The sequence below is a fragment of the Homo sapiens genome, chromosome 19, assembly GCF_000001405.40.
Source record: "Homo sapiens chromosome 19, GRCh38.p14 Primary Assembly".
NCBI classification, from domain to species: Eukaryota; Metazoa; Chordata; class Mammalia; order Primates; family Hominidae; genus Homo; species Homo sapiens.
In genome coordinates, this window is record NC_000019.10 from 22,506,369 (window position 1) to 22,533,919 (window position 27,551).

Consider the following 27,551-nt stretch of genomic DNA (forward strand, 5'->3'; position numbering starts at 1 on the left):
TCTCAATCTCCTGACCTTGTGATCTACCCACCTCGGCCTCCCAAGTGTCTGTGACTTTTTAGATGCCTTTTTCCTATTTGTCTGCTTTTGGGCATTTTGAGGATTTTTAACCAGGTTTTCTAAAGCAGTTCTTCCCAGGGGAGTGCAAAAGAATCAACTGGCTGTAGGAGCTTCTCCAGCAGACTGCATCAGAGCTGCTGGGGCAGAGCTCAGCCTTGCCTGTATCTGAAGGAGTTCGCTATGCTGGGGGGTGGAGGCACATCCTCCTTAGCTTCAAGTTTCAAGTAAGCATCAATCATCTCCTTTCTTTTTTACTGAGCAGTGTGTTGTGGAATCCTTGTATATTGCTACACAAAGATTAGTCTCATGCCCCCCACCTTTTTTTTTTTTGAGACAGAGTCCCACTCTCTTGCCCAGGCTGGAGTGCAATGGCATGATCTTGGCTCACTGCAACCTCTGCCTCCTGGGTTCAAGTTAAGTAAAGATTGGTCTCATGAACTTGAACTTTACATTCAAGCGATTCTTCTTCCTCAGCCTCCCGTAGCTGGGATTACAGGCACATGCCACCATGCCCGGCTAATTTTTGTATTTTTTTTTTTTTGTAGAGATAGGGTTTCACCATGTTGGCCAGGCTGGTCTCGAACTCCTGACCTCAAATGATCCACCCGCCTCAGCATCCCAAAGTGCTAGAATTACAGACGTGAGCTACCACACCAGCTGGTCTCATGCCCATTAACTGCTGAGTTGTATTTCACATGATTCACATGTTCGATGTCCTATTGATGGACATTTAGGTTTCAACTTTTTTACTTTTTTCTTTTTTTTCTTGCCTTCACAGTGCTACAATGAACATCTTTACACATGTATTTGTAGTACTTATCCCATTGTTTCTTTCTTTTTTAGAGACAGGGTTTTGCTGTGTCACCCAGAGTGAAATGCAGTGGCACGATCGTAGCTCACTGCAGCCTCAAACTGGGCTCAAGCAATCCTCCCGCCTCAGCCTCCCAAGGAGCTGGGACTACAAGCGTGCACCACCACACCCAGCTAATTTTTTTGTTGAGACAAGATCTTAATATATTGCCCAGCCTGCTCTGAAACTCCAGGCCTCAAGCAATCCTGCTCAGACTCCATCAGTCCCTTCTTGATAGATATTTGGGTTGTTTCCAAATTTTACTGTAATTACTTCTTTCCTTTTGGAAGGAGAATCAAAGTGTTCCATGGTTTTTAAATGTTTATATCTAACAATCAATCTTCTAGGAATCTATCCTAAGGAAAAAATCCTAGAGAAAGAGAAACAAAATTCTTTATCCACAAAGATATTCATTGTTAGGTTATTTAGAATATTGAGAAATCAGAGATTATTAAAATGTCCACTAATAGGACAATGGTTAAGTAAACTTAAATAAATCTATCCAATAAGATATTATGCACCCATTAAAAATGTTTATTTAGGCTGGGCACTGTGGGTCACGCCTATAATCCCAACACTTTGAAAGGCTGAAGCGGGAGGTTGCTTGAGGCCAGAAGTTTGAGATTACCCTGGGCTACACAGAAAAACCCTGTCTCTACAAAAGCTTAAAAAAAATTAGCCAGGCATGGCTGTGTGCACCTGCAGTCCTAGCTACTCAGGAGGCTGAGGCAGGAGGATTGCTTGAACCGAGGAGTTCAGTTAAACCACTGCACTCCAGCCTCTGCAACAGAGTGAGAGACCCTGTCTCTAAAATCAATTTTAAAAAAGTTAGAGACCAGCCTGGGCAACATAGGAAGACCCCATCTCTACAAAAAATAAAAAAGTTAGGTGGGCATGGTGGCTCATGCCTGTAGTTCCAGCTACTTGGGTGGCTGAGATGGGTGGATTGGTTGAGCCTGAGAAGTCAAGGCTGCAGTGAGCCATGATTGCGCCATTGCACCCCAGCCTGGAAGACAGAGCAAGACCCTGTTTTTAAAAACAAAACAAAAAAGGGATTCACATGTCCCGCCACAGTGTACTGTGGGAAAAAAAGGGAGTTTCTGAAAAGAATGTATGGTATTTTGGAGAAAAAATAGTATTTATGAATGATAAAATCCCAAAGGCATATTCACCACAGAAATATTTTCATGTCCAAGTCACAAATTTTAGCCATGCTCTAATCTTTTACAGTGAGTCTGTGTGATTTTTGTGGGCAGAAAAAACTGATCAACAAAATCTTTGAAAAGAAAAGCTTTAGTCTAAAAGGAGGAAAATAATACTTTTGCCTTTTGATTTGTTTAAGGATCATAATTATTTTTTCTTTATAGGCAAAACTCACCCATCTTTGTATACTCATATTTTTCCTCTCCAAGTTTCTAAGTTTAGCAAGCCACTTCTGCCAGAGGTTTGATAAGTGTTAATAAGTGAATCCTAATTAATCCTAGCCCTGCTGGGATTAGACTTGCCATCTCTGAATAAAATCTAGAGTTTAAGGCCAAGGTGGGTGGGTCACTTGAGGTCAGGAGTTCGAGACCATCCTGGCCAACAGGATGAAACCCTGTCTCTACTAAAAATACAAAAATGCACCCTCAACAGAATCCTAACAACAACTGAGATCTGGCCAGGCACTCCCCACTTTCCCCAGCCTCTGCCTTCCAAGCACAAGCTCATTGAATCCAAACAGCCTTCGGTGGTAGGTACTGCTATCAACCCTCTTCCTGAGGCCCACATGACCAAACCACTCAGCCAAGGCCACACAGCAAGGCAGTGCTGAAGTGAGGATTCAAACCCAAGCAGACCAGCTTCAGAGCTGTGCCATGCAACCCAGAGGCATCCGGGAGTCCAAAACACGGGCCCTGGTGAGAGAGGGCTGCACAATGTGTACCCTGAACTGTGCCTCCTCACACGGCCCAGACAACCCGCAGGAGGCTGGGACTAGGCCAGAGGCAGGGGGGTCCCTAAAAGTACAAAGTCCCAGTGGCACAAGGTCCCCAGGCAGGACTGGATGTCAAGTGATACCCACCTATTAAGGGCTGGGTTTTGGGCTATCTCATTATCATTTATTCCCCATAAAACAAAAACCCTGAGGTAGGGATTCTTTTATCCCCATGTGACAGATGAGGACACAGACTCAGAAAGGCCAAGTGACTCCCCGAAAGCCACACACTGGTTAGCAGTGGAGCCTTGATTCAAACCCAGAAGGGCAAACCCAAAGCCCCTTCCTCTCACACCTCATCCCTCCTCACCTCAAGGCCAGTTTACTGAGCAGAGAGGAACTCACGCTTCCAGATTCACCCCATACATTTAACCTGCTGCGCAGCAAATGCCTGGACTTTGCCTGGCAGAAAATGATCATGAAATCCCTGGGATGGGGGCAGCCTGGGCCCTCAAGAAACATCCCAACCCACATTCCCATTGCCCTTGTTGAGGAGGTCAGTCCTGGGAAATCCTACTCCCTTGTTCCTTCCCAGGTTCCATCTGAGCTAAGTGCCTCCAGGAAGGGCAGGGAGCCCCATCTCCACACACAGCACGGGAAGAGGGGGTGTGACACAGGCCTACATCAGAACTCTCACCAGCCTCAGCCCCTGCAGACCCGGTGGGACTGGGCTTTGCTTCTTGTTAGACTAAGGGAAAGGGGGCTTCAATGACAGTCTAGCTCACTAGAGGCAGAACAAACTGCCACCAGTTCCCTGCCCACTTCTTGCCTGGAGAAAACACCCGCTCCTAGGTGGTGAGTGTGAGCAGCAAATTCAGGCCCACGTGGGCCAGGTAAATTGGGCTGGCTGCCATGCCCCTCTCACCTCTCCCAGGCTTCCCGCACAAGCACGCAGGCAGGTTGCTTCAGCCCCAAATACAGCAGCAGAGGTGGTGGTGGCAAAGGGTGGGGCAGGAGGTGGAGGGTCAGGCTTACAGACGGGACGGACCCTCAGGCACAGTGACAGCAGCCCAGCCACTAGGGCCTGTCCACAAGCCAGGGCTGGCCAGGATCAAGCGAGTCACTCAGGGTCCTCCCAGCTCCTTCCTTCCCTCCAACACTGAAGGCTCTCAGAAGAACCAGCTCCAAAAAGGGAGCTTGAAGCCTCTTTCCAACCTCCCAGTGCCCACCTCAGAAGCAGGGCTGAGGGCAGAGATGTTTTATAAGCCAGGACCCCTCCCCATGCAAGGGTCGTATGGACCGGTGTGTGTAGGGGCAGACCTGTGACTGACATCCACCTACACCTGACCCTCATCTCTGAACTCACCCCACTTCCTTGCATACATTGAAGAGGAAATGGCCCACACTCCATGAATGCCGGGGTCTGAGGTGGGTGACGGCACCCATGAGCCCCTGCCAGAGTCTGTCCACTTCCCAACAGACCCCTTTCCCACCTTCCCATCCCCAACCATGCCAAGGCCTTCAGGGATGGAGAATGAAATCCTTCCTCCTGCCTCACAGGAACCACTCACCCACACCTGCAGCCTCTTTCCATACAGGACTCTGGGACACAGGGCCATCAGCTCCAGCAGCATCTAACACGAGCAGGTCCACAGCAACCTTGCTGGTAGCCTCTCTTCTGCTACTTCCTGGGTCCACACTCAGCCTAGGTGGGACCAGCCTCCCCCCTGCCAAGGTGAGGACAGGAAGAGGCATGGCTAGGGAGCTGTCAGTCATACCTCATGGTGGTAGGCAGCATTTAAAGCCAGGTGGCACCTCTCACCTGGTTACTCGTCACCCCACTCACACAGCCTGACACAGCCTCACTGCCTCCCCATACTCACAGAGAAGCAGATTCAGCTCCTGCTGCTCTAGGCTGGGAAAGGAGCAGCGGGTCAGCCTCTACCCTCTTTCTCTGAGAACCAGACCATGCCCCAGGCTGCACACTGCTGGCAGAATCAGCCTAGGGGGTAAAAAGCTTGGGTTCTCAGCCCACTCCAGGACCAGGATGGGGCCTTTCATCTAGGCTTCTGACACCCACACACTCGGAGGTCCTGGTCCCCATGGTACCCCAGTGCCCAGCACAGAGCCTGGCACAGATCAGGTGCTCAAATATGTGTTAAATGAAAACAAAATAGGATGAGATCAGTCCCTTACTCCTACTATATGAAACTGCTTCTCCCTCCATCGTATGGCGTGTGGACCAGGAGGCCTCGGGTCCTTCCGGACCAGACAGTCTGTGATAGCCATGAGCACCTGAAGCCTGGGGTCCATGGTTCCCTGAACCTGTTACAATCTCTGCCAGGCAGAGAATGCACTGACCAGCTCCCAGAGTGGATAGGGACCCAGGTGTCCCTGAGCCATCCCAGGTGCCAGAGCGTGACCTAGCTCTGAATGGAGACACAGGTTTCTTCTGGACTGACCCAGGACTGGCAGGAGCAGGATCAGAAGGGCCACCTTAACCTGCTCACTCCTCCTCTGTACCAGCCAAATGTCCACAGCCAGGCCAAGTGTCTAGATTTGCTCAGCCTGACCTCTCGACACATGTTAGCACAAGTGGTTTCCCACCCGTCTTTGTTGTTGTTTAGCATCTGTTGAGGGCTAAGTGCTGGGGTGAATGCCTCGCCTATATCACTCAACCTTCTCAGCCTATCTATGAAGCCGGGTTTTTGTTTGTTTGTTTGTTTTGTTTTGTTTTTTGTTTTTTTGAGATGGAGTTTCATTCTTGTCACCCAGGCTGGAGTGCAGTGGTGCAATCTCGGCTCACTGCAACCTCTGCCTCCCAGGTTCAAGCGATTCTCCCGCCTCAGCCTCCCAAGTAGCTGAGATTACAGGCTATGCCACCACACTCAGCTAATTTTTGTATTTTTAGTAGAGATGAGGTTTCACCATGTTGGCCAGGCTGGTCTCAAACTCCTGACCTCAGGTGATCTGCCCGCCTTGGCCTCCCAAAGTGATGGGATTACAAGTGTGAGCCACCATGCCTGGCCGAAGCAGGTATTTTATCATGACTCTGCAGACAAGGAAATAAAGGCTCAGAAAGATTATGTCATATGCCTAAGATCACACAGCAGGACAGTGATGGGACAGAATCAGAACTCGGGACTGTCAGCCTCAGGGCACACTCCCCTAGACCAGCACCCAAGTCAGACTATGCCCAGCCAACCCTGGACATCCAGGGCTCACCCCATGGGGTCCACCACATCTCTGGGAAAGCTGCATGATGGGCTGCCTGGAGGCAGTGGCCAGGCCAGAATAACCCATGCCAGCATTCTTCCATCTCACTCTTCCCGAGACCAGCCTCCAGCCCTGACCCTGGGGTACCCTGCTGCCTTAGCCCTTTCCCATCCTGGAATTAGCACCACCAACCCAAGGGGCAATATGTTGATTCCAGAACAGGCAGATGTGCTGATGAAGAGAGAGGCAGCTGCTAGGACTCTCCTACCTGTCACTGGGCCAGGTGTGGAAGGAGGGGCAGGAGCCAGGGGAAAGCAGAGAAGCAGGGGATTACACGACAGAGCCTTTGCAGGGGCGAGGGTTACATATCCGGACTAGGAGCTCCCCAGAGCCCACTGTCTGTCCCATCCACCCAGGTGCTCATGCTCCCAACTTGTTAGTGCCAACTCCTGGCCATGGGACAGCAAAACCTCAGACAACATCTACTCATCCCTCAACCAACCCACGTCAAATCTTGCCTGGGCCCAGCCCAATCTCTTCTACGGCCTCCTGCCTCATCTCCTTCCCTCACCCCCTGCCGTTCAGCTAACTTCCTAAAACAAAGGTGGCAATTGTGCCATTCCCTTCCTTCCAACCTACTGTGCCTATCCATCACCTGGCTGGGCGAACCCTTCCACCTTTCTCTACCCACATGTCCACTACCCACACCTCTCCAGTCACCCCATCTCTCCAGGCTCTTGCTCTTGCAGTTTTCTTGGCCAAGTAAGTGGCCCTTCCCAACAGAGCAAAATTCTACTTACATGAGAAGGCCCAGCTACCCCTTCCCCGAGGCTCCCCAGCAGACTCATGGCAGCATCCCTGAACCCACAGCTCAAAGTTCTGTGGACATCAAGCACCGTGTCTTGTTGGAGAACCACTTGTGTGGGGTTGACTTCCCAGCCTCACAGAGCTTCCTGAGGGCAGGGCTAGGTCTGATTCATCTCTGGAGTATAGGTGTAGAGCAGAACCTGGCACAGAGAGGGAACCAGCACACCCTGTTTTAACTGACTGCCCAGTGAGCCTGGTCAGCAGACATTGGGTAGGCCGTAGGGCTTGTCCACTTGAGCTTTCCAGGCAAAAAAAACTGTCAGAGCTGGGGATTCGTGCTTAGTTTGGCAAGGCTCAGTATTAGAGGCTGAAGAACCCTTGGCAGAACTGCCAGCCCATCCAGTTGCGGCAGTGCCACCCCACAGCATAGCAAGAGGCTACATTGGCAAGCCCTGACTCACCATAGGTTGTAAGAACAGCCAGACGCCCATGGGGTGCTAGTGATGCTGGGTTCATCTATGACTGCAGTACTCTGGACATTCTGAGCTGCTCATCTGGTTCCACTAGATCCCCAGGCCCTCTCCCAACTAGGCGGTTTGAGGTCTAAGGAAATGCCATATCCCCTGGGTATGGAGCTTGGAATCTTACCTCTTCAGCCATTCTGCTGACCCCTAACCCTGCCCTTTTAGCCCTCAAGGGCCTACAACTACCGCAGGAGAGCTGAGGGGTGGAAAGCACAGAAACAGCATGACATAAGCCCAAAGAGTGGCCAGAATCTGAATGGCTTGGGCTGATAGCACTGGCCCCAAATGGAGATGGAAAGAGGGATGACAACAAGAGGAAGCAGCGGACCAAAGTCTGGCAGAAGCTAGGGACTCATAGTGGTATCATCCACTGTATTTGAAAATCCTTGAGTAGCCGTGGGCAAGGAGAACTAGACTCAGACAAGTAGAAAGCCCGCAAATGGATTCCCGGGGCAGAAGTCCAGGCTAAATCTGGAAGGCGCTTCAAGCTCACAGGGGAGGGGTCTGCAGGGCCAGCTGGAGGATTTTCCTACCCTTTCCTCAGCAACCAAAACTACCCTCCCCAAAGAAGCCCTGGCCCACTAGGTCCATCCATGGGGCAGAACCCCATGGAGGCTCCTTACCATGCAGGGTTGTCCTAGTGGACAGCGATGGAGCAGAGTTTGGGGGAGATGCTGCAGCTCTGGTGAGAAGCCACCCAGTCTCACCATAGGGCTCCACATGGAACTTGTAGGGATGGGGGGTGAGCCGGCACTCACTGCCACCCCAGCCAACTGCCCTGAGTACCCGGCAAAGCCCAGCAGCATCAGCAGCAGTAACAGAGTCAGGTCCAGTAGTAACAGTAACAGGTCCGACATGGCTCTGGACCCCTGCACCGCACCCCAAGGCAGCTGCAACAGAGAAAGAAGGGAGAGGAGGCTGGTAGCCATCTCCAACAATGTGCCCACCTGACCACCAACCAGTTCTGCCCCCAGCTCCTCAGCCCTGCCTTGGGTGCTTTGACCCAGGAGGTGGAGGGGCCAGAGGTGTCAGCACATAGTGACCTAGAAGAGAGCTATAAAGGATGACTGAAGCCACAAGCCTCTTTATTTCTTAATCACAGTAGGTGAGGATCTCAGAACAGCTTTACCTGTCAGCTGGCAGCCCTGGTCACACCTGGGGAAACTGAGTCACAGAGGGGCACAGAAGTGAGTCATCCAGGGACATACTCCTGGCCTGGACAACTCTACCCCAAGATATGGCAGATGCCAGCCAGCCTGCCTTTCTTCCACAATACCATACTCCTTGCCTGGACAAGTCTCCCCCAAGATGTGCCAGATGCCAGCCAGCCTGCCTTTCCTCCACAATACCACTTCTTTCCCACAGCAGAGCCACACTGCCAGTCCAGCCTCCTGAAGCCTCAGGGGCTACTGCCAGAGGGAGGGCAGACGAATACCAGGGTCCACACACCTATCAACAAACAGGGAAACCATAAGGAACAAAATTCCCTGGGGGGAAATGTGAGACGGGAAGAGAATTTCATAGGAAACTCTCCTTTGCTAAGTACATCTGGCCTGCAGGGACCTTGCTCTCCAGCAAGCTCACCCATCCAGAACCAGAGGGAAGACCACAGCAAAATGGCCTGAGCAGCTAGAACAAAGTCCACCATTAAGCTTCCCAGACTTGAACCACCCATGTTAACAAGCCTCATCCTAATTTTCTACCCCGAAGAAACAGTGAGGAGTGAGAGGAAAAGGTTGCCAGAAGGGGAGTCTCAGAACAGGAAGCAGTAACAGTTACGCATAGAGGAAGGGAAGCTGTTCAAGAGCGGGCCCAGGAACACAACACAGAACCACTGTGTGAGCTATTCCAGGCAGGCTGCCTAGGTTTCCAGGCAGCTCGGGACCAGAGGCCTAACCCTCTTACACAGAGGCCTTGACCTGAGTTGCCTGGAGAGGGGGGAATTGTAGCCCAGAGAATACTGTTTAAAGAGGAAGGGAAGCATGTGACCCACTGGGGGAACATTCCCACCCCAATTATTTAAAACTAATACTTAACATTTAAAAGGTTTTGAAGCTGAAAAGGCCACACTGCAGCTTTGTGGAAAACTTAGCTCTGTGGAAATATTTGTTCCCTGTAGGTTCTGGGTGTTGATTTTACATTTAAAAAAATTATTTTTGGAGTCAATGAACACACAGTATTTGCTCACAAAGAGGCAAAGTAAATTTCTTTCTTTTTTTTTCTTTTTTTTTTTGAGATGGAGTTTTGCTCTAGTTGCCCAGGCTGGAGTGCAGTGGTGCGATCTTGGCTCACTGCAACCTCCACCTCCCTGGTTCAAGCAATTCTCATACCTCAGCCTCCTGAGCAGCTGGGACTACAGGCACTTGCCACCACACCCGGCTAATTTTTGTATTTTTCGTAGAGATGGGTTTCACCATGTTGGCCAAGCTAGTCTCGAACTCCTGACCTCAGGTGATCTGCCCGCCTCAGCCTCCCAAAGTGCTGGGATTACAGGCGTGAGTCACCGGGCCCGGCAAAGGTAAAGTAAATTTCTAAACTTTTGGTGTCAGGACACAGAGGTGCTGCCCACTGGTCTCAGCCATCTGTGCTCCTACCCATCAGTATCTCTCTCTCTTTTCTGCCTGTCCTACTCATCTTGTCTCCAGTTAGTTTCATTCCTGTTGTCTTTGATGATAATGATAAGAAATCTTCCACCGAGCACTTACTATACGCCAGGCACTAAGTGTCGAAACACAGCTGCTTCATTCATCCTCAAAGCAATCCGACAAGACAGGTATGGCTAAGGGCGCAAGAGGTTAGAGGTTAAGAGACTTGCACAAGGTCACACAGGTATTAAACAGAGCCACGTGGACCAAAATGCAGGCAACATGAACCCAAACACTCAGACTCCAGGCCCCCATTTCCACTTCCTCTCTCCTCTCTGGTGACTGGCTTCCAGAAAGACTCAAGAATTTAATCTTTGTTGGACATCTCTGAGCCCAAAGCTGCAAAACTCTTAGCATCTAGGCCCCCCACTTGCCATGGGAATGACAAGCCCTCACTCTGATCTGCCATCTCAGCTGAGCACTTCCTGTCCCCTGAAGGGAACTTAGTATCCACCTTTCTCTTCTTCTCACCTCCCAAACTGTTCAGAAAGGGGAAAAATGCACCTGCAGGCCCCAGGGCTTTGGTCAGCACGGGGAGGGGTAATGTAAATTTCCCCTGTATTCAAGAGAAAAGGGGCCGGGCATGGTGGCTCAGGACTGTAATCCCAGCACTTTGGGAGGCCAAGGCGGGCAGATCACCAGAGGTTGGGAGTTCAAAACCAGCTTGGCCAACATGGTGAAACCCGGTCTTTACTAAAAATACAAAAATTAGCCGGGTGTGCTGGCGCGCGCCTGTAATCCCAGCTACTCGGGAGGCTGAGGCAGGAGAATCGCTTGAACCCCCAGAAGGCGGAGGCTGCAGTGAGCCGAGATCTCGCCGCTGCACTCCAGCCTGGGGGACAAAGTGAGACTCCATCTCAAAAAAATAAAAAGAAAAAGAAAAGAGAAAAGGAAGACGGGCTGGGAGCTTGCCTGAAACTCCAGGCTTACGTTAGTTAACTCATGGCCTCCAGTGTGGCCGGTACGAGTGCTTCAATGCCGGGAGCTGAAAAGGAACAGTCACTCCGGAACAGGAAATAACCTCTGAGCCGAGCACCACGCCCTGACTCCCTTCTTCAGGGAAAGCCCCCCGGGGCCTCTGAAGCACCCTCGCCCCACTCTCAACCCCCTTGGGGGAAATCAGAAGCCAAACCTAGATTCACAGTGTCAGGGATCTTCCCTAGAGTCTGGGTCACGCCCCTCTTCCTGGAGGGCTTCAGGCACACCTGGCGCCCAGGAACTGCCGCCGACCGGGCTGCGCCCTCTCTCAAGCCTGGGTGTCCCCTCCGCTCAGAGGTCGGCGCGGGCGAGCGTCAGGGAAGGCTGTCCCCGCGGGCTTCCTGCTGCCGACCCCGTGCGCGGGGCCCGGAGGCCGGGTCCTTTAGGGTCCCCGCCGCAGGCTAAACTTCAGTGCTGGAGGTGCAGGGGCCACCGCCTCGCGCGGTCGGATTCCAGCCCCTGCTCACCCTGTCCTCGCCTGTTAACTTACAGCTTTTCTTGTCTCCCACCTCCTTGCCGAGTCCCGCACATCTGTAACTTCAGCGACGCTGAAGTTTGCAGCCCGCGTGAGAGGCGCGGCCCTGGGGGACAGGGCAGAGTTAAAACGCGACTCGGGCCTCCCTCCCCAGCTCCACTGCCCCGGGCGTGCCCTGAGCCTGCGGCCTTGGCAGTGGGCCCGGAAGGGTGGGTGCTGCCCCAAGGTCGCATCCAGGCCCTCGGACCCTGCCGGGGCCAGTAGTGGGCAAGACGAGACTCCAAGAGCGGCCGGGCCGCTGGGGTCACTGGGGATAGTCCTGAGGTCTTGCCGGGTAGGATGGGGGTCCCAGACCCACGCTCCAGCGGGGACGCCCCGACTCCAGCCCGGCCCCGGCTCCGGACCGGCCGGGTCTCCGACACCGTCCGCCACGCACGCCGATCCGCCCCCTCTCTGGCAGAACTGGGCCCTGGGCGTGGCCGTGGCCGTGGGCGTGGCTCTACCCATGGCCTGAGCGCGCGGGACCCGGAGGGCTGATGCCTCCCCGCCCCGTCTCCACAGCAACGGGCGTGTGCGGGGACCCAGAGCTGGCTGGGGTGGAAACCGCGGCCTACTTTCCCGCCTCCAGCAAACTCTGCAATTGCTGAGGTTGATTTAGCAGCACCCAAGGGATCTGGGTCGGCAAGAGCACCTCAGTGACAGCCTGGCACCGGGGTCCGCAGGAGAAGGCCAGGCTGGGGCCAGGGAGCTGAGGCTGAGGAGGAGCGTTTGCACAGGCTAGGGAGACACGGCACAGCAGTATCCGCCTCAGACATTTGTAGCACCGTTAGTCCTGCCACTTTCTCTCACTGTAGCTTCGCAACAGACTTGGGAACCAAGCAAGGCATGGCTGAGGAAGCTTAAGCCCAGTCTGGGCTCGCGGAAGAAGCTGGTGGATCCAAATATCTGCTTCCTGCCTCCACCCACCCCTCCCCGCTCCGTGAGCACATTCATCCATCCAACATTTATGATCACTCCCTGCCAGGGCAATTCTAGGGGCTGGGGATACAGTGAACAAGACCAAGGCTCCGCCCTCCTGGAGTCCACATCCCAGGGACATGCCCTTCTTCCAGGCTCCTCCCTCAGTGCCCTGGTGGTGGCTGGGGGAGGCTGGTCTGCCTTTCTGGTTAGCGATAGCTTAGGTGACTCCCAGGTCAAGTGTAAGCTCCTTGATGATGGCAGGAAACTGGTGGTGGAAACAGTCAGTAATCATGGGGTGGTTCACCTTGTGGATCCCACTACTGCATTAGCAAAGAGCAGGCTGGGCACACAGGGGCAGTCATCATCCCGCTTCCTTTCTCTCTGCTTCACGTTCTTCCTTCCGCAGGCAGGGGAGATGGAACCTGGTCCACAGGGCCAAGCCTGTCCCAGCCCTCCAGGCAGACCGGCGGAATAGGTAGCTGGCCCCTCACAGGCACTGCGATCCGGGTCAGTGCAGATCGCGGCAGTTATTTTACCTATGAACGCCCAGCACACCGTCAAACGCTCAGCTCAGGTGCCCCAGGCGGGCAGGCTTTTCACTTGGGAGCATTTCCTTTGACACAAAGGGGACCATGGCACTGGCTCAGAGACTAACAGCCTCTGCCTGCAGGGTCTGCTGGTCAGTTCTCCTGCTTCTCAGGAGGTGGTCAACTTTTCCCAGGAAGCCATTGTAAGGAGGCGCCCATTCTTCATCTTGTCCTCTCTGCTCACTTCCTTTAGCGTGGTTGGGGAACTCCAGAGCCCCACATCACAGTTCAGCACGTGCCTCAGGAGCTTCAGCACCTCCTTCGTGAAAGGAGAGTCTGCCGGTAACGGGGGAAGCAGGCCATCAGCCTGCCCAGCTTCATCTCAGGCCGCTTCCAACAGCGCCAAGCAAACTCCCTTGGCAAGATCCATGCAAGGCCGCGGCTGACCACCGGGAGGCAGCAGCCTACTCTGCAAGGCACTCTCTTTACCCGACCCCCACCCCCTTTTAACAGGTGGCAGGAAACCTGCTGGCCCAGCCATCTGCCGCACCCACCCTTCACTCCCAGTCCCATCTCCCCATAGCACAGATTTCCCTATCATGAGCCCAGACGTGGCCTGCATCTCCTCTTGCCTTCCTCTGCCCAAGGAATCCCTACAGAGATTCTTTCTCTATCTTCCTTTATACATTTCCACAGAATTGTTTCCCCAGGGCCCCTCCCCTTGAAGAAATTAGACAGGAAGCTGGAGTAGATGGTTCCCTCTTTCCCACCTCTCACACTCCCAAGCTCTGGTTAACTCTCTGTGGGCCAGTGGCTAGATTCCCCAACACAGATGACAACTGAACAATACACATGCAGCGTAAGAATGTTGTCGCTGCCACCAGCCACTTACAGATACACCATTGCTAAGGTCCACCCAACTGGACTGTTTCCCCCTTCCATAGACTAAGCCCCAAAGGCCAAAAATAAAACCCCCTACCCCAAACCTGCCTATAACTGTTTGACCAGAGGCCAGCTGTCCCAGGATGCGGTTAAGATGTCTACCTTGCACAACAGAACTGGCAAGAAAAACATCTCCAGGAAGCGGTCAGATACACGGCACAAAGGACTCCCCCCTCCCCGCTTTTCCTTTTCCTTCACCCTGACCCAGTTCTACGCCCTGTAAGACGTTGCTCCAGCCTATAAGTGGGGCTGCCTCCTCTGCTTTTGTCAAGAGATAGCCCGGCAGGACTGACAATAAATCAGTTTGCCTGAACTTGGGTCTATTGGCCTCATTCCTTTCTTGGCTGTCCTTCCAATTATCCCTTACAACCATCTCCCACCCTCTGAAGGCACTGCACCCAATCCCCAGCCGTTCGCAGTCTGGTCAGGGCTGTCTGTGCAGGACTTGTCATGGCTGAGGCCCACATAGCCTCAAGCCACTCTGAAGTCAGCTTGCTGTTTCCCCTGGAGCCTGGAAATACATCCCTCTTCAGGTAAACAAAAGCAGAAAAAGCCCAGTGAACCCCACTGTAACAAAGAAACTGCCAGCAATCTTCCTTCTGTTCCTGCCTGTCTCACCACCCAAGGACTATCGCAGAGCCCACTGTGTTCTAAGATCTATTCTTTTCACTACCACCCAGCCAACCCGGTGTCCAGACCATTCCTTGATCAAATAACACTGTCTTCTGGAGTTTTAATTTTATCTTACAAAAAGTGAAATAAGGAAAACTGATAGGCAATTATACTGACTTACAATTTTTCTGTTTGCTTTTTTTTTTTAAGCAACATGAAACGCCAGTAAAAATAAATATGTCACAGAAACAGCCACTTGTCCAGTCTCTGGGGCAAGAACTCCAGCCCTGCTGAGAGAAGGGAAGCCCACCATCACCCCAGCAGCTGGATCGCCAAGCCACAGATGCTCCTCAAAGCCAGGCACAGGTCCCAGGCCTCAGGGGCATCCTGAGGAAAGAAGATGGAAAACCAAAGCCAGTTGCCCAGACCCTGGGGCCACCTCATCAACCCCCACTCCTCCTGGCAGCCGTCTGGCCTTAGTGGTTAATCATTTGCGGCATCTCCGCCTTTGCCCACCTGGACCCTCTTTCCCTGACCTCTCTGAAGAGGGCACAAGGAAAAAACCTGTCTTGGGCAGGCTGGGGGGATTCTTCCAGTGAGTCCCCAGCCCACCCTGAGTAACACAACCAGCTAACAGTCATTTTACACCCAGGTGCACATGAGCACAGCACACACATAACTCTCTCTCTCTCTCACACACACACACACACACACACACACACACACACACACACAGCTGGACTGAGCTGTCTTCCAGGAAGGGTCTTGGGTCTGGTCACAGTATGAGGTCCTCTCTCTTCTGAATATCATCTCAATAGTGGTGGCAGAGAGAACCCAAACCTCCCCAAGCCCCTGCATTGCAGACTCTGTAGCCGGCCTGGCTACCCCTCCCCAGCACACAGGATTACTATGTCCAATAGACCTGCAAAAGGGAAAGGAGCACACTCAGGACCCGGAAGAGCAAAGAAGGTGGACACTGTCTGCTCAGGACACTCTTCGTTGTAAGACTCGGGTATAAATAAAAGGCCCAGGGCCAAGCTAGTGGCACAGAACAGACATTAAGGGGTTCACCATGGAATACACAGGGCAGAAGAGAAGACTTGGCAGCAGGGAAATGGAGTCTGAAGGTGACCAATGGAGAGCACAGCATTCTCAGTGCTTGAGATGCAGATTCCAGGGAGCAGTCAGCAGAGGGCCAGAACATCTTGTGGGGATCCTTTTGGGGAGAGATGACTTCTCTTAGGAGTTTTGGTGGGGAAGAGCCACTGAGCTCGGTGCACAGAAGGCCACGGTTTACAGGGAGACACTGGTCTTCTGAGAAATCAAAAAAGAAAGTGGGAAGCAGGAAGTTATATCCAGAACACTAGTATAAAGGAATGAAAAGCCCCCAGAGACCTTCCCCCATGGGATGAGGACTCAATTGCAAAGCAATACCAGGCTTGAATTGACTGACACAGAGGGCCTTTCTCTGCTGACAGCTTTGGGAGTGATGGTCCCACCCAGGCCGCTTAAGTCTGGCTAAGTGTTTCAACCAGTCTGCACAACTTTAACCCAGCTCTTTGCTGTTTGCTGCTGGATTGGGAAATTTCATATTTAGCAGTGAATCACAAGTATACAGAGTCTCCACACACTAATTCCTAGAGAAGAGAACTCTGAATAAAGGAGGAGAACACCCCTCATATTGTCTTATGCCCAATTTCTGCCTCCAAAGAAAGAAGAAGTAAAAACTAAAAGGCAGAAATGAAATCCACAAGCAGACAGCCCAGCGCCACACCCTGGGCCTGGTAGTTAAAGATCGACCCCTGACCTAATCGGTTACTAGTGGTGCATGCAGCCCCCAGTCATGTACCCCCTCCTTGCTCAATCAATCACGACCATCTCACACGCACCCCCTTAGAGTTGTGAGCCCTTAAAAGGGACAGGAATTCTCATTCAGGGAGCTCAGCTCTTGAGACAGGAGCCTTGCCGATGCTCCCAGCCAAATAAACCGCATCCCTCTTTAACTCGGTGTCTGAAGGGTTTTGTCTGTGGCTTGTCCTGTTACACAAGCACCAGATAGAATTATCCCTAAATCAAGAGATGATGAGATAGACGCTTAAGAAGCATAACTCAGGGCCAAGTGCAGTGGCTCACACCTGTAATCCCAGACTTTGGGAGGCCAAGTTGGGCAGATCATGAGGTCGAGAGATCAAGACCATTCTGGCCAACATGGTGAAACCCCGTCCGTACTAAAAATACAAAAATTAGCCAGGTGTGGTGGCAGGCGCCTGTAATCCCAGCTACTCAGGAGGCTGAGACAGGAGAATTGCTTGAATTTGTGGAGGTTGCAGTGAGCTGAGATCACACCACTACACTCCAGTCTGGGCGAGAGAGTGAGACTTTGTCTCTAAGAAAAAAAGCCCCAAATTCCATATGCCTGCCCTTAAAGTTATTCCCAAATTACCTCTAACCTTTAAGATATGTCTCACTTTCTCCAAGATAATAAAAGATGTGGGTGAAGGAAAAGAAAAACCCAATCAATCAAATAGGTGAAGAAGCAGACATAAACAGGCAGAAGGGAAATGGCAGCAACATAAAATAAGCCAGAGGCAAAGTATCCCCCAAACCAGAGGAGCCTTGGGGCATGCACAGCTGGAGAGAGCAAGTCAGAGAGGGATCTTGGCACTGCCTCACCTTCCACTTGTCCAGTGTGGGGAGCACTACCCCATTGGAACGGTTAAGGTCAGACACCAGGACATTCAGAATGTCCTGAATCTACAGGAGGTGAAAAGGGTAGAACAAGGGCAGGGGGAGAAAGACAGAAGTGGCTTAGAGAGAGGCAAGAGAGTCAGAGGAGGAGGAAGAGGTAGCTTTAGGGAAACGAAATGCTGAAGAAGAGCAAAGGAGATCAAGACCATGGTCTGGCCTTCAAAATGGCTGCCTGCTGCCTTGCCAGGGGCAGAAACAAATAGATGGAGAAGTCCCCTGAGCGATGCAGTCACACAGGGTGGAGTCACCTGACCGATGCCACTCTGAATACTCTCATTGGATCCCTCTCCTCAGGCCCAGGATGTGGGGATGAATCTGGCAGAGCACCAGACCTCCACTTCCATTTTAAAAACCAGACTTTTGAGTAAGGGTTCACTTGAACAAAGGGGACTCCCGCAAAAAAAACAAGTTTGAACACACTGATCTTATCCAATGTCATCTTACAGAGGAGGTAACTGAGGCCCAGGGGAAGAAGTGACTTTTCTGTGGTCACCCAGCACGCTGGCGGCAAAGATGAGATTAAAAGTTAGATCTTCTCCTAATCTTAGTGCCTGGGGCTCTCCTCACCACATCCTGGGGCCCTTTCGGTGACTCCAAAAAAGACAGCCTGATGGCAAGTGGCTGTTCTCATTGGCCTGGCTTCCCCTTGAGACTGGGGATGAGGAAAATGAAACAGCAACTGTCATTTCCTGGGTGCCTTGGGTGTTTATGGCAGGCCCTGTACTTGGCATTAACCTAAAAACAACAATAACAAATCTCATTTAAGCTTCACAAGTGTAAGTCAAACAATACCACCCCTATTTTACAGATGTGAAAAGAGAGGCCCAAAGAGATCAAGTAATTTGCCCTACATCATATCCTTAGCAGCTGGAGAGGTAGGATTAAAACACAGAATTCTTAACCAGGACCCAACAGTTCTTCCACAATCTAAACAACTACCCTCTACTGCCCTTGGGCCCCCTGTCCCCAGGAGCCTGGCCAGCCAAGACTCACATCCCCAGGTGAGTGGCAACCACCAGAAGTGGTTGTCTCAGGGTTACTGCCATTTTAAATTTTCTCTTTCGCTCCTCTAGGAACACCAAGGCTGTTCCTCCACTGATAGTTTCTTATCTGTGGAAAAGAAGAGCAGGAATTCTCATGAGAAGTCCCTGCAGTCGCATCTGACTTTACAGTTTTTACTGAGGCAAAAATTTAAAAATAATAATAAGTACTACGTTTATTTACTTCAAGAAAAGTAAAAGCTAAGGCCCAGAATGTGGCAAGGCAAGGGTTAAAAAAAAAAAAGAACAAGTTTTCCTCTACCTAGCAAGCTCACTTCAAGGACAGTTATAATACTGTCCAAATAGCCAAGGCCAGAGGAATGGGCTCCAGACACCCCATCCCTTCCAGAGCAAGGTTAAAAAAAATATATATATATTTTACTGTTACTCTTTTCCCAGGCTTCTTAAGCATTATTATGTTTTACAAATGTCTATATTTATCCAGGTCTTGTTTTTCTTTCAATGCAGCTACAAGGTCACCAACTATACAAGGTCACAACTTATGCTATAGATTACATGACCTATGACTGTATAATTAACTGCTTTTGTTTTGCTTCTGTAAGGCTGCTTACAAAAACCCCACTCTGACTTTGTTCAATGTTCAGCTTTTTAAATATAAATCCACTGAGCCGGTGCGTACCTAAAATAAACAACAATCCTCCTGTACTCCATATTGGTCTCTCCGTTCCTCAGTTTACCACATTTTTGGCAGCCATGAAGGGACCGGAGACTGCAGGCTGACTGTCTCCTTTGCCTCTGGGGTCTGGAGCCCTGGGCCAGGGGAAACCTGTGACCCCAGGTGCCACCAGAAAATCTTCAGCCCGGAGGGGAAATCAGCTTTCCCCTGACCTGGTTCCCCCTACGCAGCAGCACGACAAAACCTGAAAAGAACTACAGGACAATTTCAGAAACAGAGCACTTCAGGAACCACAGTAAGGTTTTGGGGGCCCAAGGCAGGACCCGCCCATAGGGACAGAAAGAAAGCTAATCGCCTCCCGGGGTGTGCCAAATAGTCCGACCCAGAGGGGCTGGGGGCAACAGGAGTGGCTCAATTCAGATAAAACTCACACCCCAGCTGACACAGGACACGAAAGTAGCTCACTAAGTCAGCTAGAAAACTGACGAGAGTGGCTTACCACCCCAACTACAAAACTAGAGGTGGCAAAAGTGGCTCGCCACCCCAACTGCAAAACTAGAGGTAGCAAAAGTGGCTTGCCACCCCAGGTACAAACATGAGAACTAAAAGTATATAAAAGTGTGTAAATGGAGGGACCTAATTAGGCTCATCAGTCGCAAAATAAGAAATCACAAATCTCTTAACGTAAACTGTATGCTCCAAGAAAATTGTGGGGCAAACTGAGACTAATAACAATCTACATATGACTAATAGGAGCTGCCCTACAACTCCAAGTTATAACAAAAATAAAAAACTCTCCAAAGCCAAGCAGCGTCTGAAAACTCCTGTAATAGGAGACAGCATATAGTCGGCCAAAATGAGAAGAAAAATAACTGTACAAAAGTAAATGTGCAGCATCATAACTGGGAGAAAATGGGAAAAAACTCATCAAAACCTAGTCCCTTAAAATATATATTTAAAAACTTAAAAGTTTTACAGAAAATTATAAAGTTAAGTTAACCCCCCAAAAGTTAAAAACTCTCTGTAAATTAAAATAACCCTCTTTTAGTATTAAATAGCCAACCAAAGGAACTGTAAACTAAAAAACAATTAGCCATATATTTAAGGTGGTGACAGGGGTCAGAGGACAGCCAGGGCACCCAGACCAAATTCTTTTAAATTGACTCATGGTTAAATATAATATAAACAAAACCGACATAAATCCAGCCCTGTTTAATGGCTTATTACAAAAAGCCAAAAATAAAAATAAAAACAGCTTCGCCGGCAGACACAGAGTTAAAGGAAAAGTCCCAGAAAAAGCAAAAGAAGCTAGTTTATAGGAGCCACCAGAGGGAACAAAAATTCTCCTTCCATATGTCCCAGCCTACCCCCCTTTACCGAGGCCAACAGCTCCAGCTCTCCAGAAACCAGATTCAGGAGCCAGCATGCTCCAAGTCTCACCCCAAAGGGAAAGACTGGAGCCTCAAGAGGCTAAGGAAGGAAGTCAAAATAGTCAAGCAGGCCGTCCCAAATCTGGTTGTGCTCGAGCTATACAAATGCCTCTCAGGGAGATACGAAGACCCATCTATTATAATGACCAGGGCCACATCCCAGTGGCGGGGGGGCAACGGACTTTCTTCTATCAGCCCTTTTCAACCACTCATCTACTAAACTGAAAACACCACACACCCTCCTACACGGAGAAGCCCCAAGCTCTTATAAATCTGATGCATTCCATCTTTCTGACACATAATCTAACCTGGCCAAATTGCAGGCAGCTTTTCCTAACGTTGTTTAACATTAAAGAGTGCCAGAGAATGACATAAGCAGCTCTCCGCTAGCTAGAAGCCCATGCACTAGCAGAAGCAGTGAATGCTCAAGCACATGCTCAAGGCTGGTTCCCAGAAGCAGACCCCAATCAGGACCCAGCTTCAGCGCCTGCAGAGGTACAAAGAGGTCGCTTTTACAGGGGTAAAGAGCTGGTAAAAAGAGAACAATTAATATAAGGAAAATTTCAAAAGTGCTTCAGAGAGCTAACGAGAGCCCAAGTTAGTTTTATAAAAGACTCTGTAAAACATTCTGGCTTTACACCCCATTTGACCCTAAGGCTGCCAAAAATCAGCACGTGGTGAACACAGCATTTGTCAGGCAAGCCCAGGGTAACATCAAGCAGAAGCTGCAGACATGAATGCCACCCAACTTATAAAAGTGGCCACCAAGGTATATGTTAACTGTAACCAAGGAACAAAATGGGAAAGAGCAAAAGTAACAAGCTAGGCACGCCAAGGGTTAAGTCCCTCTCCCCAGCCCAGCTCTATCTAGAAAAAGAGGGGGCGGGAACCAGCGCCAGGAGAAGAGCAAAGAAAAGAAAAAAATAAAAGTGTAAAAAAGGAAAGGAAAAAGAAAAAAAAAATTGGAAAAAAATAGAAAAAATAGAAGGCAGTGCATAGGGGCAGCGCCCGTGCCGTTGTCCGGCCCCACCAGCCAGCCGCAGGAGCAGGAGAACTCAAAAAGAAAAAGAAAAATGTAAATTAAAGGCTTAAGAAAAAGGCCAATCTGTTGGCAACAGCTCTTATAAAAAGAGAAATTAACAATGTGAGAGGACGTGGACGCGGGCATAGACATGAAAGAGGTCAAGTTAAGCAAGGATTCGAGAGCCAGACAAGGTTAAAAAAAAGATCAATGCGTGAGATGCAAAAAAAAGGACACTAAAAAAAATAAATGTCCAGAAGGTAATAAAGAGAGTAGTAAAGGCTGTGGTATAAAAAAGTCACCAGCTAAAAGCTGTCACACCCTAAAAAAAAAAAAAAAAAATACTGATCTAATCCGGGCTGGCAGGGGCTAAAAAATATAAAGACTAGAGACAGACTGAGCACCTTCTCATTAGGCTTCCAGAAGCCCACAGTCACATTACAAGTTAAAGGCAGCAGGATTCTGCCATATCTGGATTCCAATTTCTCACTAATGGCTAAGTCACTATATGAAGTTACAAAGTGGGGGGAACCCCTCCTCTGGGAAACTAAACAGGAGAAAGAGCCATGCTTTATGAAAACTTGCTTATAAACTTCATAAAATTGCCCCATGCCAGAGGCTATCGGTACATGCTAGTGCTTATTTACACCTTTTCAGGGTGGGTTGAGGCTTTCCCCACCAGGACAAAAAAAGCACAAGAAGTGACTGAAGTACTGCTAAAAGACTTTATCCCCAAGTTTGAACTCCCTCTAACTTTAAAGTCAGACAATGGCCAGCATTTATAGCTAAAATAGTGCAAAATTTAACAAAACTGTTAAAAATAAAATAGAAGTTACACACAGCCTATCGGCCACAAAGTTCAGGAAAAGTGGAACGCATGAACCAGACACTCAAGCAGCTACTAAAAAATTATTGCCAGGAAATTAATCTATAATAAAATCAGGTTTTACCTATGAACCTCCTCTGAGTCAGGTACACCCCCACCGAACAAACTGGGTATTTGCCCTATAAAATTTTGTTCGGTCGGCCACCCCCAAATCACAAATCAAATTAAAGGTAATCTCCAAGAACTAGGGGAATTAACCTTCAAAAAAAAAATGCAGGCTTTAAAAATAGCCATGCAAGAAGTCCATGACTGGGTATGGGAAAAAATGCCTATAAGTCTAACAGACCCAGCACACCCCTTTAAACCTAGTAACTCTGTTTCAGTTAAAAAGTAAAACCCAACTTCTCTAAGACCCATGTGGGATGGGCCCCATACAGTAATCTTGTCCACTGCCACTGCTGTTAAAGTTACAGGAATCATGCCTTGAATCCATCACAGGCAGCTAAAACCGGCAGCTCAGGACAAGTAAACCAACCAGCAGGACCCAGAACATTCAACCCGGCTAATCTTGAGACGAGACCAAGCTGCTGCTGAGGACAACAACCCTGCCCTGGTCACTCCGGAGGCTGACCAGTCTACACACGGCTGAAGCTTGAGGAAACAAGCCCTGTTCTAATCACACATTGGAAGCTGACTAGTCTACGCACGGCCAAAGCTTGAGGACTCGTCAAGCAAGTAAATGTAATTAAAAATCTTAAAACTAATAGTTTTTCTGTAATACTATTTTCCTATTTGTTCTGTCACTGTGCTCAACCTCCTCCCCCAAGTAAAGACCTCCTTTGTCCTTACTAAATATAAGTATGCTGTACATTGTTTTGCTGTTGTTACCCCCCCCTTAACCATACTAAAAAAAACACCTATAGAAGGGTGTCCCCACTGTACACATACTACTTGGTCAGGGAACAGTACAACTAAAACCCTGTTACACTATATGTATTATAAATGTACAGAGACTCGCTTAGAAACTTGTACTTACAATCAGACCACCTATTCAATTAATAACCCTGGAAATGGCCAGCCTTATATATGCTATAACCCTAAGTCTTTACCTGGGACTTGGTTTAAAATTCATACCAAGTCAAAGGAAGGAAGTCTTATAAGTGGCGGGGGGGCTATATCCATATACTTTAATATTTGTCAGTTCACATCCATGAACCCAACCTATTTCACAGTCTCTGGTCCTACAGGGTACTATACAAACTGCCAGTACAAAATTATATATACACCCCCTGTTTGTCCCTCCAAGGCCCTAGCAATAGTTTGCTGGAACTGCACAACGCAGTTCACTGACGGATCATCACCGAGGCCAAAGCGAATCTTGCTCATCAAAATACCAGCAAAACCAAATTGTAAGACAAACACTTACAGTCCTATAAATCTTACTATCTTAAAGCCAGATATACCTATATGGACTACAGGTTACTCCATGACATTACGAAGCTACAGTCAAAAAGCTAAAATAGCTTTATACATTATAAAGAGGACTCAAACCAAGCAGTCAGCCCAGCAGCAATTCCGAGTCTTTACGTCATTCTTTGAACATATAAACCAGAAGTTACCAGAGCCTCCTCCTTTAACCAAAAACCTATTTGCTCAGCTGGCTGAAAACATTGCCAGCAGCCTAGGCATTTCCTCATGTTATGTTTGTAAAGGGACTAACATGGGAAACCAATGGCCTTGGGAAGCAAGAGTTAATGCCTCAAGATAACTTTAACTGACTCTTTCCCCAGACTGATGCCCACAAGTTCAAGCGTCTGGCTCTTAAAAACTTCTATTATTAAAAGATACTGTATTGCTCATTGGGGAAAAGTTTTTACAGACCCAGTAGGAGAACTAACCTGCTTAAAACAGCAATATTATAATAAAACATTAAACAAAACTTTGTAGCAGGGCAGAGATAACTACAAAACACCCCATCCAGACCCATTCTCCCGCTTCTCTTCTCTAAACCACACTTAATATCCAAATACTTAGCAAGTATTTGGAAGTATTTGCAAGTATTTGGAAGCTCCAAATACTTGGCAAGCATCCCCTGGTCTTTATTAGATCTGTGGGCCATGGGCATATCAACAGTTGCTAGCTAAATGAACAGGGGCCTGTGTGCTTGGAACAATTAGACTGTCTTTCTTCCTACTCCCACTGCAACAGAGAGAAACTTTAGGGTATCTTATCTATAATAAAGTTGAAAAAATACAGATATAAGAAGAAATATAAAAATTAAAAATTAAAAAGGCACAAATTGGCACCCTAAAAAAAAAATTCAATACTATAGGCCAGCTACCTGGACACAAAATAAGTCATAGGCATACCGCAGTCCTATTTACATGCTTAACCACATCATAAGGTTGCAGGCAGTACTTAAAATCATCACTAATAAGACAGCAAATGCATTAAGTTTACTAACCCAGCAAACCACAAAAATAAAAAACGCCATCAGAACAGATTAACTTTAGTCTGCCCCCTAGCCCACGAAGGAGGAGTATGTAAAAAATTCAATCTAACTAATTGTTGCCTGAAAATCAAAAATAATAAAAAAGCAATTATAAAAATAACTACAAAAATAAAAAAATTAGCCCACGTTCCAGTTCAAACTTGGAAAGAGTAGTCTCCAGATTCTCTCTTTGGAGGCTAGTTTTCATTTTTTGGAGGGTTCAAAACTTTAATAGGAGTGGTTTTAGCCACACTAAAAAGTTTCCTAATACTCCCTTGTCTGTTACCTCTCATTGTTAGAAGTATTCAATCAACTATAGAGGCAATAGTAGCTAGAAAAATCAACACTCAGCTAATAGCTCTGCGTAAATATCAACCTTTGTGTTAAAAAAAAACAAAACTTGTCTCTTCAGGCAAAACTAAGTAATAGTAATGCTTTCTATTAAACTTCTTTCATAAAAATCATCAAACGGGGGAAACTGAGGCAAAAATTTAAAAATAATAATAAGTACTACATGTATTCACTCCAAGAAAAGTAAAAGCTAAGGCCCAGAATGTGGCAAGGCAGGGGTTTAAAAAAAACAAAGAAAAGAACAAGTTTTCCTCCACCTAGCAAGCTCATTTCAAGGACAGTTATAAAATAACGCTGTCCAAATAGCCAAGGCCAAAGGAATGGGCTCCAAACACCCCATCCCTTCCAGAGCAAGGTTAAAAAAACAAAAACAAACAAACAAACAAAAAAACACACACACAAAAAACCAGATTCTTTACTGTTACTCTTTTCCCATGCGTCCTCACGGCAGAAGGCAGCCTTTCTGTTACATCTAGGAATTGAACAGAAAGAGGACAGCCCAAGCCTCATTTCAGAGAGGTCTGGTATACTCTTAGAAATCTATGAGACGGTCATCCCTAAATCCATTAATGTTTTTTCTCTCTGAAGAGAATCAAGGGAAACTGATGCTTCAGAAAGATGCCCCATATTACCCTGTGACACTCAAAGTCCCCCAGATTGAGACATGAGGAAGATTCAAGCTGTCAAGTTCAGTTTCCCAAGATCTCTTTCATGGTAAATAAGCAAATCTCACTCCAGGCAGGGTCTGGGCTGTTAAGGGGAGGGGCTGACTGACAAGACTTTGATGGGGGGAGCCCAGTGGCACTTGGGGGCCCAGCCCAGTAAGCCTCGGGAGTGGCATGAGCTCTGGCCGCAGTCCTGCCATCAGAGGGATTCTGGGGCTGGGTGGGGGAGGCCATCACCTGGCGATAGTACCTTTTTCTTTGCAGCCGCCAATTTGCTCTGTAGGGTTTCTTCAGACATTGCAGGGCAGGAAGGAATGTGGGGTTGGGGCCACGTCAGCTAGATTGCGGCTTACCACTGGGGAACAATTCCTGTCGGCCACCGCGCAACTGTGCGACTGACCAGAGGAGGCGTAACCAGGGCCTACTACAGCGCAGAATAGGGGGCGTGGCCGCCATCCTCCAAGTCCATTGGTCGATGAGAAAGATGACAGAGAAAGGAGGCGAGGCCAGGCAGCAGCGCGTCCAGGTGGGTGTGAGGCGTCACAAGGAAAGCTGAGCAGGCAATTGCTGCCCCGCCCACTCTGGGAAGAGGGGCGGGGCCGCCCGCTCCAGAGGGACGGAAGCGGCGGGGCCGCCGGATCCAGGGACAATGGGGTGGGGCGGGCTTTCCCTGGGTGGGCGCAGCGGCTTCCTGGGTCCCCCTCACGCTCTGGGTCAGAGTTCCTTTACAGGCGGACCTGAGAGGCAACTCACCGACTCCTGCCCTGGACCCTCCTGCGCCACTGAACCCCCTGACCTGGGAGCCTCGGAACCTAGGGCTCAGGAGGTGGGTGAGGAACGGACTCCACAGTTTCTTTCCTGACTCCTCACAGCCCTGCCCCAGACCTTCCCTTCCCAGAAATCACCTCCAAGGACCCCTAATCAATGTTCCAGACGCCTACCTCTCGGAACGCCCCATTCCTAGAGGGTCCCTACCCTGATTCCGGGAGCACATTTGCCCCCCTTTCCAGCTGGATCCAGTCCCGGGCTCTCCTGCTTCCCAGCTCCTCCTCCCGCACCCAACAGCACCCCTTTCCTCTCAGAGCGGCCGTGGGTCCCATCAGGCTTTCCCCTCGGATCCTCTGCAGATGAACCAGGACTTATCCGAAGGTACCAAGTGAACTTCTAGGAAAAGTCCAATTCTCAGATGCTGGATGTCTTCCAAAAATGAAGCAAATTAGTAACTTAGTAGCTGAGTCAACTAATCCTGTTAGATGGTCAACACTGGTTTTTTTATTTTAATATTTTTAAGTGGCAACTCTAGTGTGTGAGAAAATTAATGTGACAGCTGAATTTGTAGAAAGCTGCTTTGACTCTCTTGGGCCCCTTCATAAGCCCTGGAACTAAATAAAAGTCTAGTGAATACAGGTAAGCTCCCTTCTTTTTCTCCATATTTACCCCTCACTTCAACTATAATTTCACAGGTCCCTTTTTCCACATTCAAGGTGGTTGATAATAAAGTGGGAATGTACAGGATTCTCTTTAATCCTGAATTAGCAATCCAAAAATTAGAATTTGTTGCATTCTTAGAACTACGGTCAGGGTTCCTGAGCAGGTACTCAAGCAGACACAAAGACAAAACTTCCATTTTATTTCAGAAGAACCTCCATAATCCCATGCATTAATTCCCATCATAAATCATCTCATCTCATCCATCTATCTTTCATCTATCTATCATCTATCTGTCATCTGTTATCTATCATATAACGATAATTCATCTATCATCTATCATTCATCTGTCTATAATCCATCTATTTATCATCTATGTATCATATATCGATCATTCATCTAT

At 49.1% G+C, this 27,551-nt stretch overlaps 3 long non-coding RNA genes across 5 annotated transcripts in view; 1 reads left to right on the plus strand and 2 right to left on the minus strand.

Moving 5' to 3' along the window:
- Positions 1-26,117, minus strand: part of LOC105376917 (uncharacterized) — a 76,394-nt gene extending 50,277 nt beyond the window's left edge. Inside the window, exons 1-2 of one of the 2 annotated variants that reach the window (NR_160727.1) lie at positions 25,971-26,117; positions 7,996-8,262 (exon numbers count right to left, since the gene is read on the minus strand). This is a non-coding gene — a long non-coding RNA (uncharacterized LOC105376917). The remainder of the gene's footprint in view (positions 1-7,995; positions 8,263-25,970) is intronic. The other variant, NR_160728.1, reaches the window with a different exon arrangement.
- On the minus strand, positions 14,627-21,581 carry LOC101929124 (uncharacterized). The gene is made up of 5 exons (NR_110427.1): positions 18,940-21,581; positions 18,253-18,369; positions 17,185-17,265; positions 15,583-15,825; positions 14,627-14,898 (listed from the first exon to the last, which is right to left on the minus strand). It is a non-coding gene; the product is annotated as an uncharacterized LOC101929124 (long non-coding RNA).
- A 140-nt stretch (positions 26,118-26,257) lies between the features above and the next one.
- LINC01233 (long intergenic non-protein coding RNA 1233) lies at positions 26,258-27,126 on the plus strand. Of its 2 annotated transcripts, none has more exons than NR_110663.1 (2): positions 26,258-26,546; positions 26,803-27,126. It is a non-coding gene; the product is annotated as a long intergenic non-protein coding RNA 1233 (long non-coding RNA). The 2 variants fall into 2 exon arrangements; NR_110664.1 differs by having other exon boundaries at positions 26,848-27,126.
- The last annotated feature ends 425 nt before the right edge of the window (positions 27,127-27,551 follow it).